This window comes from Homo sapiens, chromosome 21 (assembly GCF_000001405.40).
Source record: "Homo sapiens chromosome 21, GRCh38.p14 Primary Assembly".
Taxonomy (NCBI): domain Eukaryota; kingdom Metazoa; phylum Chordata; class Mammalia; order Primates; family Hominidae; genus Homo; species Homo sapiens.
This window is the reverse complement of record NC_000021.9, coordinates 40,211,540-40,223,592: the sequence shown is the minus strand read 5'-3', so window position 1 is coordinate 40,223,592 and position 12,053 is coordinate 40,211,540. Positions and strand designations below refer to the sequence as shown.

General features: G+C 38.7%; 1 protein-coding gene and 1 non-coding gene across 5 annotated transcripts in view; both read left to right on the top strand.

Annotated features, from left to right (window-relative positions):
• DSCAM (DS cell adhesion molecule) overlaps positions 1–12,053 on the top strand; it is an 836,160-nt gene that overhangs the window by 623,566 nt on the left and 200,541 nt on the right. The window lies entirely within an intron of this gene.
• On the top strand, positions 11,162–11,241 carry MIR4760 (microRNA 4760). Its single transcript, NR_039917.1, has one exon. It is a non-coding gene; the product is annotated as a microRNA 4760 (primary transcript).

Here is a 12,053-nt window from a genome sequence, read left to right as displayed (position 1 = left end):
GTTTCTAATTATAATGTGTATATATGATATGACTGTAGAAAAAAAAGGTAACTTAGATTTTCGTTAAAGATGTTTAAAAATACTCTTCTGGTTCTGAGAAAAGCTGTCTTCCTATTGGAGCTTTTTTTACCTGTGTTTAGGAAGCCCATATGTCATGCTGCAAGAAAAGAATGTGTTTAAGAGCTGAAAATGGCATTTCCCTTAGGATAGTAGCAGCTGGAATGAAAGCGGTGATGATGGCAAGTTCAACGTGGCTCAGAAATGACTTGAATGGGGGCTCTCAGGCTCAAGTGATGGGCTGGTCTCTGGGTTGCAGGACTAAGGACCATGTTCAGGTGTTACCTGGGGTTCAGGGCCCTGCAGCCTGGGGACCTCCTCAAAGCTGCTCTGAGGGTGAGTCTCAGGAGGCAACTCCAATCCTGCACCTTCCTCTTGGCTCCCACATCGGGAGCAGGGACTGAGGGCAGGCTGCTGGGCAGGTCTCCTGGTGTCAGGAGGGGAAAGAGAGGCCACACCGGACACACCTGAGAAGGGAACAAAGGTTGGTAGGGATGCTGGAGGGGAGCGTGGTCATGGGTAAAAGAATATTGAGCAAAGAACATTTCCAGGGATTAAAGTTTATTATATTTGCAGATTTGGCCCTCATTCTAAGAAACTTCCATTAGACTTTAGATCTTTAATACAGATCAGTATAGATTTCAAACTTTAAAATTGTCTCAATTATATAGAAGGACACTTCTCAAGATTTTTGATCCTAGGACCACTTTATAATCTTAAAAATTCTTGAAGATTCCAAAGGGCTTTTGTTTCTGTGGGTTGGATCTATCAATATTTGCTGTACTAGAGATTACACTGAGATATTTTTTTAAATGACAACTATGACATATTATCATAAATATACTTCTTAATAAACTATTTTTAGAAATTGGTGAGAAGAGGATGAATTATTTTACATTTTTTGAAAATCTCTGAAGTCTGGCTTGTAGCTGCTTCTGCATTCAATCTACTGTGATGTGTTATGTTCGTTGAAGCATATGAAGAAAATACAATTCGCACAGAGGTGTAGTTGGACAGGGAAGCTTAATAGCATTTTCAGATCATCATGGCTATTGCTCTTTGATACTCTACCAAAATTTGGCAAGCGGTGGTTTTTAAAGATTAATTCCCATGCAGAACCAAAAACCATATCAACAGCCTTTTCCTACCCTATTGCATTAAAATATATCAGTGTTTCTGGATCTTTTACACATGCATGATTTTATAACACCATGCATTGGTTTTTGGAAAGTATTTATTCACTTAGTAATGTAGACGTTCCAAATGTTGATGCACTCCATTATACAATACTTTTGAAAATCACATTTATAATATCACTACTAATGTCATCCAAAATATCTTTAAATATTGGGAAGGTGTGTTAAGCATGTGGTGAAGAATCCAAGTTTTCTAAAATCGAATTAAGACTTAAAAGCTCAAATTTTACCACTGGCAACAAACACTCTCAGTTGTTTCCCTTGAAGTGACAGGCTCACTTCATTCCTTTTGAGAAAATGTTTGTCAAATACCCAGACAAAAATAGTTTATCAGTTTTTCTTTCAAGTAGAAATGTGTTCCATGAAAATCACAGCTGATCAGCTCATATTCAGTCCCACACTGGAGCTTTTCTTGAGCACCCAACACACAGGTGCTTTGTATGTTTCTGCCATTCTGTCACACAGAATGTTAAAAACGCACACCCTCAATGGTTGAGATGGAATGAAATGAAATGATTTCCACTGCTTAGTCAAGGACATGCTGAAGTGAAGCTGCCACGTTTGTTTTTGTTGCGAGTGTTGACGGACAATTGTGAAGACCACAACGGCCGTGAGAAGAGTTTGGTGCCACTGCCTTGAATCCTATTAAGGCCCCAGCAGATTTGCCCACTGTTGCTTTTGTACTGTTGGCTAAAAAGGCAAATAATTTTTTAGTGTTATTCTGAAAATAGCTCTGATCTCACAGATCCTTTGAAAAAGTATCAGGGATCCCAGGTGTTGTTGGACTGTACCTGAGATCAGTTGATACAAAACAATCTTATGATTACTATTTATATGTATATTATATATAATATGTATTATTTTATATTATGCATATCATATATATTTTATGTTATTTATATAATAATCCTATTACGTATGTATATTATATATTTATATATTATACATATATGTATTATACACGTACACATTATTATACATATAAATATACATATGAAATAATTTTTCAGGTTATCTAGATCTTGGATCTGAGTAATCCAATCAGGTGTCTGATTGTAATGCCCTCTGCAGGCTGGGTAGTGTGGTGGTGGCATGGGTGGGACAGGTAGTGTAGTTCTGGGAGAGATCCGTCTATTATTCATGGTTTCACTCTACTCAACTCTTTGAGGCTCTCAACTCTTTTTCATCCTGTTTGACACTCCACAACTCTTGCATAATAATAAACAGAGGTACTATAGTCAGGCAAAAATGAATTTAAATCCTTACTTTGCTTCTCACTAGCCATGTGAATTGTAGCAGGTTTCTGAGCACCTCTGAGCCTCAGTTTCTGCATCTGTGAAATGGAGATAATACAAAGCTACCTCCTAGGATGGTTCAGAGATTAATGAAATTAAAACCTCCATTGATGGAGTGACCTCAGACAACACGTTGTAAAAGTAAGCTTGTGCAGCCTCGTGGCCCAGTGAGCACAGTGATGAGCGCAGAAGGATAAATGACCACCTTTTGGTTGGGTGCTAGGGTGAGCCTGCTGCATTTCCTACCGCTTTTCACACATGCACAATACCTCTATCCACCTTGGAATACAAGGAAATAAATTGTGTCCTGCATCTGTTTCTTCAGTCACAGTTAAGCTGTGAACTCTCATGGGGAGTCTCATATAGCTATTCTAATACATCCTCATCACTGTGTGGCACCAAAATTGTGGAGACTTTTTATTAAAGATTATACAGTGTTAGAGTTTATCATAGCAGAGTTTGCATAACATCAAATTTCTTTATAGTCTATTTATGTACCATGGAGGAAAACCATTTTAATTAAAAAGTGGGATAAGCTAATTTATCTCTTGAATACCAAATGTCTTAACCTCAAAACCCAGGCTAAGGTTATTCTTACAAATACAGAATGTTTTCAGAGGAGACAAAATAGTGAATTCAGTGAATATTTTGTTGTACAGTCCATTCTGTATTTTCCTTCTACATTTTATTTATTAAGTCAGACATGTATATTCACTTTAAATGAAACTCTTCTAATGCTTGACTTGGCTACGTTTGGAAATAGCCACTCGAGGTTGGTTCATGGAGAAAGAGGTAGCTGGCCACACACAGACAATGACTCTCCCTCAAGTGTACACAAGGTGCTCACATCTTCCCAAAGCCTGCTTCCAGGACCCCAGGCCACAGTGGATGTGAGAGAGACAGGATGTCATGTTGAAAGGCAGTTTTATATTGCTAAGGCTCCCATAACACAGTTAAAACCAAAGATCAAATCTAACCTGGCAAAACGTTGAAAACAGTTTACAGCTGTTTGTTAGAAAAAGTTAAGCCATTAACTCCTTAGATAGCCTTGATTCCCGTTTTCTTTTTGTCCACAGCTATTTAGTATCTTTTATGGAAGTATAGAATATTTATGTCTGAACTGCACCAAACATATTCAAAAATGCTATTTGGTGTATATATAACAAAAGTAAACATATGTAAGATTTCTACCTGTTGGCATTTGTATTAATTTACAAACATTTATGAAGTAGAATGCTACTCAAAAAAATTCATTTAACTTCACTTGTTGGTTATTGGTTTTATTAATAAACATATAGAGAAACAAAATAAATGATAATATGGAATATTGGCAGAGATGCACAAATATTTACATTCTGATATATCATTTGGCAGGAAAATTTTTTAAAGCAATTTGACAAAATATATCAAAAGCCAAAGACAGTTAATGTCTTTTGACTCATTAATTTCACCCTTAATTATCTATACCAAAGAAATAAAAGTTATAGACAAATATTTATGTAGAAAGAGTCAAGACAGAACTTTAAAATAATAAAAAATTGTTTCTCTCTAAATAGCTTAATGAAGTGACTGCTTCTGTGAATGGTGGTGCATCAGCCTAATTCAATATTATGTGGTAATTTTAAATTATGGGTTTAAATAAGTTTTCTTAATATAGGAGGCAGTCGTATAATATAGCTGCATTTTTAAAAAGCAGGATTTGACCACCATGATCAAGTAGGCTTTATCTCCAGGATGCAAGGTTGATTCAACATACACAATCAATAAATGTGATTTATCACATAAACATAACTAAAGACAAAAGCCACAGGATTATCTCAATAGATGCAGGAAAGGCTTTTGATAAAATTCAACACTCATTCCATTTCAAAACTCTCAATAAACTAGGTATTGAAGGAACATACCTTAAAATAATAAGAGCTATATATGACAAACCCACAGCCAATATCATATGGAATGGGCAAAAGCTGGAAGCATTCACCTTAAAAACCGGCACAAGACGAGGATGCCCTCTCTCACTGCTCCTGTTCAACATACTATTGAAAGTCCTAGCTAGAGCAATCAGGAAAGAGAAGGAAATAAAGGGCATCCAAATAGGAAGAGAGGAAGTCAAACCAGATGACATGATTCTATATGTAGAGAACTTCATAGTCTCAGCCCAAAAGATTCTTCAGCTGATAAACAACTTCAGCAAAGTTTCAGGATACAAAATCAATGTACAAAAATCACTAATTCCTATATACCAACAACAGCCAAACTAAGAGCCAAATTAGAAAGGCAATCCCATTCACAGCCACAAAAAGAATAACATTTCTAAAAATACCAGCTAACCAGGGAGGTGAAAGATCTCTACAACAAGAATTACAGAACACTACTGAAAGAAATCAGGGAAGACACAAACAAGTGAAAAAAAAAATCCCAAGCTCATGTATAGGAAGAATCAATATCATTAAAATGGTACTGCCAAAATCAATTCACAGATTCAGTGCTATAGCTATCAAACTACAAATGACATTCTTCACAGAACTAGAAAAAAATTTTTGAAATTCATATGGAACCAAAAAAAGGGCCTGAAAGCCAAAGCAATCTTAAGCAAAAAGAACAAAGCTGGAAGCATCGCGTTACCCAACTTCAAACTCTACTACAGGGTTACAGCAACCAAAATACCATGGTAATGGTACAAAAACAGGCTCATCGTCCAATGGAACACAATAGAGAGCCCAGAAATAAGGTCACACATCTACAATCATCTTAGCATTGATAAAGCTGACAAAAACAAGCAGTGGGGAAAAGACTCCCTATTCAAGAAATGGTGCTAGGATAACTGGCTGACCATATGCAGAAGATTGAAGCTGGACCCCTTTCTTACAACATGTACAAAAATCAACTCAAGAAAGATTAAAGACGTAAAACCCAAAACCATAAAAACCCTGGAAGACAACCTAGGCAATACCATCCTGGACACAGGAATGGCAAAGATTTCATGAAAAAGATACCAAAAGCAATTGCAACACAAGCAAAATTTGACAAGTGGAAGCTAATTAAACTTCAGAGCTTCTGCATAGCAAAAGAAATGATCAACAGAGTAAACAACCTACAGAATGGGAGAAAATATTTGAAAACTATGCATCTGGTAAAGGTCTAATAATCAGGAACTTAAGCAAATTTACAAGAAAAAAACAAACCACCCCATTAAAAAGTGGGCAAAGGACGTGAACAGACACTTCTCAAAAGAAGACATATATGTGGCCAACAAGCATATAAAAAAATCTCGATATCACTGATCATTAGAGAAATGCAAATCAAAACCACAATGAGATATCATCTCACACCAGTCAGAATGACTTTAATAATTTTATTATTAAAAAGTATAAAAATAACACATGCTGGAGAGGTTGTGGAGAAAAAGGAATGCTTATACACTATTGGTGGAAGTGTAAATTAGTTCAGTCATTGTGGAAGACTTGAGTGGGGAGAGTCAGAGGAGGGAGAGGAGCAGAAAAGACAACTATTGGGTACTGGGCTTAATACCTGAGCAGTGAAATAATCTATACAACAAACCCCCATAACACAAGTTTACCTATGTAACTAAACCTTCACATGTACCCCAAACCTAAAATAAAAGTTAAAAAAAGCAGGACGTTTGAAAAGTATATGTATACATATATGTAGTATTATGTTGACAAGGCTCAGAAATCATATCTTTTTAGATAGAAGAAAATGTGCTTGTTAAAATGGTTGCTTCTCTCAGTATTACAATTATGAATGATATCTTTCTATGCTTTTTTATACTTTTCTGCATTTTTCAAACCTTCTGCATTAAGCTTCTATTCATTTGCAATCAGAAAAATATAATCAAGAAATGTAATACAATAATAAGATATATACATAGTCTTCTGAGACTTCAAATATAAAATAATCTTGAAATGATGAAAATCTTTGTCATGGCATTTTTGAGAAAGGGATAACAGATATTCTCTTTTAGAAAGCCAGGTTGTGTTTTAGAGTTTGAGGAGAGAAATCTGTCCACTGGTCCCTTTTCTGGCCTGGGAATGGAATCATTAGTTGTGTTCAGTTTTTCAGACACAGCCATCTTTGTTTTCTACTTAGGGTGACCGACTTTGAAAAATAATGCAAATGACATGAGATTCTCGGCCAAGAAAAGACATTGGTCACTTAGCCCTGCCAAGGTGTCCTGTCTGTTCCATCACATTCTAACAGGGCAGCAGCTCCAGGGGGGAGGTAGGGCAGTGGCTGCCTTCTCATGGGGGCACTGGTTGGCTGCGGGAGGGGCCTCCTGGCCTTACTGCTGGGTGTTACCTGTGCTGCTGTGACAACAGTCTCATCTGCCAGGTGCAAAATCTGCTCTATGATGAACAATTTAAGTGATATTCCTTGTGGTTGCATAAATCTAGTTTAAACAGTATTGACATTTTCCTATACTCACAGTTCTCACTTTGGTTTTGTAACTGATGATGCATTAATAGGTGTTGATTATAGATATCCATGTAGATAAGCCTATGATTTCTATCAAGATTCTAAAATAGACGGACTTTGCCTCTAGAGGTTTTTAAAAGCTTTTTTTATAAAGCAACCAGTTTAATATAAATTTCATAAAAAAATGGATCATTGGCTGGGTGTAGTTGTTCATGCCTGAAATCCCAGAGCTTTGGGAGGCCGAGGTGGAAGGATCACTTGAGGCCATAAGTTAAAGACCAGCCTGGGCAACATATTGAAACTCTGTTTCTAAAAAAAAAAAAATTTTTTTTTTAAATTAGGCAGGCATGCTGACACATGACTGTAGTCTTAGCTACTTGGGCAGACGGCTGAGGTGGGAGGATCACTTGAGCCCAGGAGTTTGAGGTTGCAGTGAGCTATGATCTTGCACACCAGCCTGGGTGACAGAGAGATCCTGTCTCTAAAACAAATACAAAACAAAAAGGGCTCATTTGTTTTATAGGAGGCCAAAAGAAATCATTGCATGTCTTGACTTGCTTAGCACTTATTCTGAAGAAGAAATATTGGCGTGAAATGCATGTTTATAACTGGGTCCTTCCCATAGTAGTCTTGAGCACAAATACCAAAGTTGTTTTTTTTTTTTTTTAAAGGAGAAGAAAAGGAGCAGTTTCACCTTTTTTATACAGAATGTAGACAAAATGGCAGTCATTTATGATTGATTTGTTCTACCTACTTAGCATGCAGGGACTCCCCAGTGTGGTTTTTAAATTAATTAGTTAATTTTTTTCTTTCATTAGTTTTAATGGTACAAGTGGTTTTTGGTTACGTGGATGAATCGTGTAGTGGTGAAGTCTAGGATTTTAGTGCACGCATCACCCAAATAGTATACATTTACCCAACTGCTAGTTTTTCATTCCTCACCTCCCTCCCCACTTCTGAGTCTCCAATGTCCATTACACCACTCTGAATGCCTTGGCATACCTATAGCTTAGCTCCCACTTATAAGTGAGAGCATGAGTACCTGGTTTTTAATTCCTGAGTTACTTCACTTAGAATAACGGCCCCCAGTTTCATCCAAGTTGCTATAAAAGTCATTATATTTTTTTTTATGGCTGGGTTGCATTTCATGGTATATATATCACAATTTTTTCTTTTTGTTTTTTTTTAGTTGAGTCTTGCTTTTATGATTTTTTTCCTTTCCAACTGTTATTTTAGGCTCAGAGGGTACACGTACAGGTTTTTTACATGGGTAAGTTGTGTATGAACCACATTTTCTTTATCCATTCATGGATTGATGAGGACTCAGGTTGATTCCATATCTTTTTTTTTTTTTTTTTTTTTTTTTTTTTTTTTTTTTTTTTGAGACGGAGTCTCGCTCTGTCGCCCAGGCCGGACTGCGGACTGCAGTGGCGCAATCTCGGCTCACTGCAAGCTCCGCTTCCCGGGTTCACGCCATTCTCCTGCCTCAGCCTCCCGAGTAGCTGGGACTACAGGCGCCCGCCACCGCGCCCGGCTAATTTTTTGTACTTTTAGTAGAGACGGGGTTTCACCTTGTTAGCCAGGATGGTCTCGATCTCCTGACCTCGTGATCCACCCGCCTCGGCCTCCCAAAGTGCTGGGATTACAGGCGTGAGGATTCCATATCTTTACAGTTGTGAATTGTGCTGTGATAAACATGTGTACAGGTGTCTTTTTGATATACTGATTGCTTCAAGAACTTAGGAACTCTGGAGTTTGATGCATATATATTTACAATTGTTACATCTTCTTGTTTAATTGGTCATTTTATCATTATATAGTGACCTTTGTCTTTTTCTTGTTGTTTTTTGTTTTGTTTTTTTTTTTTTTTTTGCTGTTGTTGCTTTGAAGTCCGTTTTATTTGATATCAGAATCGCTACTCCTTGTTTTTGGCTTCCATTTGCTGGAAATCTCTTTTTCCACCCTTTACCTGTAGTCTATAAGAATCCTTACATGTTCAGTGGTGTTTCCCAAAGACAGCGGTGTAGGCTGCTACTCACAGCTTCTTTCAAAGCTGTTTACGGTCCTGTGTTCCTTCTTGGAAAAAAGTTCACAGTGTGAATCTCTACACACTATTTTATCTTTCCAAGTGGAAAAGGAATGCTAACAATGCCTATATTCCATCATCTTGGAAAAACAAAACAACAAGAAAAACCCAATGTAAATATTATCAGCACAGAATCTTTCTTTATAGGCTCCAAAATATACCAGATGCACACTTCATATTTTATCTTGATTACATATGCCACTCTTTAGAGTCTCAGCTAACTATGACTGAGTAAGAATGTCTTAGAACACAGGCTCCCACGTCCATGAGTGCATTAAATATTCTTATTTCCAAAGTGGCCAGGCTGGCTGATAGCTATGACTAGTTGGAGAGAAAGCAGCATTTATAGCCTAAGTGGGCTGGGCAACAAACTACCTGAAATCCTTAGGAGCAAGAATAGAAGGGATGCCTTGTTCTCTACACCCAGGTATCACTCATTGCCTGATGTCTCGCTTCGTGTGTTTGCTGGGTTTCCGTCTGTCTAGGAAAGGAAGCTCTATGGGGGCAATGACTCCAATGAGTTTGTCTCCCTTTATTCCTCACCATGTAGGTGTGGATTTGAGTGGACTCCAAATGGCTGGGCCAAGGGCCTTGGATACCAAACACAGCAGAAGATGCGGAAAGGATGAGGGACCCAGGGGTTCTGTCTTTGGGGGAAGAGCCCTGTTCCCTGGACATTGCCTCCTTATATCCCTGCACTAGAATATCGTAAAATTCCCCTAGTCAAAACCCATGATCCTGCATGTCTTGGAGAGGCTGCCTCAAGGATTCCTCCTTGACTCCACTTATTTTCATGGAGAAGGAACCCCTCCATCCCTGGCATCCTTAACAGATTCCCTTCTAGCTTCTCACCCACTCCATCTCCAAGCCAGGTTTCCCTTCGCTTCTAGAAATAATCTGCAGTGGCTGCCTAAGATGTTTTCTGCGTGGAACCCAAATAAAAATGTAATAATTTAAATTAGAATTTTCTACAATCATGTGTTGCTCATGTCTGCATTATGGATACCCAGGTCACATGTAGGTAAGCAATTAGCAATTATGGTGGAAACAAGACTTCCTAACAGGTATTTTGGTGGAAACTTGAAAGCTGTTTCTAAAGCTGTTTATTCATGCAAACCTCATTACAGTCCTGACAGTAAACCTATGTGTGCACAGGGAGGCAGGAGGCTGTGAGGCAGCAGCAGGATCCTTCACCCCATGGCTCACTCACAGTGCACTCTTTAACCAGGTCTTATTATGTCCATGCTTCTGGGGTGATTAAAATATGCCCTAGAAGCCTTGATACCCAAAATAAAGCAAAACGTGGAATATGAAGTTTAAAAATGTGAAATAATAAGTAAAAGTTTTGTGAAATACATTTTTCTATACTGTTCAAATGATCTTGAAGATGGCATCCGTTTCTTAGGTCTGCCATGCAAAATGACCACGATGGAGTGGCTTAAAACAACAGACGTTTCTTCTCTCACAGACATCTGAAATCAAGAAGTCAGCAGGGCTGGTGCCTTCTGGAGGCTCTGAGGGCACATCAGTTCCTCACCTCTCCCAGCCTCCAGAGGCTTCCTCAACCCTTCACACTGCTGAGCCTGTGGCTGCCTCACTCCAGTCTCTGCCTCCACCTTCACATGGCTTCTTTTTTGTGTCTCTGTGCCTTCTCCTTTTCTGTCTCTTATATGACATTCTTCAGTGGATTTAGGACCCACCCTAATGAAGGATGACCTTATCTAGAGGTTCTTACTTTCTTTAACTCTGCAAAGACTGTATTTCCAAGTAAGGTCATATTCTGAGATTCCAGGGGTTGGGATGTTGATATATTTTTGAAGGACCACAATTCAACCCACTAAAGGGATGAAAATTAAACTGAAAAATATCAACCCCTAAAAAACCTGCTTTATTGCCAACCATATAAATTGCTCTTTGTCACAATATACAACAGAGGCCTCACAAACCTTGGTGTTCTTGGTGTGAGAATGGTGAAAAACAAGATAGAAAGCAGCCTGAAATATGCACAGGGGTGTGTCATCTCGTTACTGGGAAAGGATGTACTGTCCAAGCGACAACTAGACTGCAGAGGTAAGGCTGAGACCAGGGCTGCCATGGTGTTTAGATTGAACATGAAGTTAGAATTCTTAAGTATCAAAACTAAATTCATGTTCAATCTAAACCCCATGGCTATGCCTCTCAAGGTGAGGCCTCTGTGTTGTTCTCTATGCCTTGAGCACCCTTCCTTCTTTGCAATAAAAAAAGTTGCAGAATTGACTGGGCACAGTGGCTCACGCCTATAATCCCAGCACTTTGGGAGGCCGAGGCAGGCAGATCATGAGGTCAGGAATTCGAGATCAGCCTGGCCAACACAGAGAAACCCTGTCTCTACTAAAAATAAAAAAATTAGCCAGGCGTGGTGGTGCACGCCTATAATCCCAGCTACTTGGGAGGCTGAGGCAGGAGAAATGCTTGAACCTGGGAGGCGGAAGCTGCAGAGAGCAGAGATTGGGCCACTGAACTCCAGCCTGGGCAACAGAGCAAGACTCCCTCCCACCCCCCACACCAAAAAAAAAAAAGCTTCAGAATTTCAGTCTCCCACAACAAAACCCACACACACACAAATTTGTGTAGCAGCTACTATTTGCCAACAATTAGGGTCTACACAATTAAGACATCATCTTTAACCTCAAGCAGTTTACAATCCAGAGGGCAATGATGGAGGAGAATAATGAGGTGTGGATAAAAGTGCCTATTAGCAGAGTATGCAGTGGAAAGTGTGATAACACTTCTAGATAGAAGGCAGTTGGTCCATAGGTATTTTGGTGAGAATCTACATGTCTGATGCATCATGGGCTGTACCAAGGACAAGTCACTGCCTTTGGAAATGTTTGACTCATGCCCTGATGGATAGGTGGATAGGTCTACACATCAAAAATGCATGCCTGGCTACACATTTATGAGAACAACAAAAATTTTTTAAAAATTATAACGCCACATGCT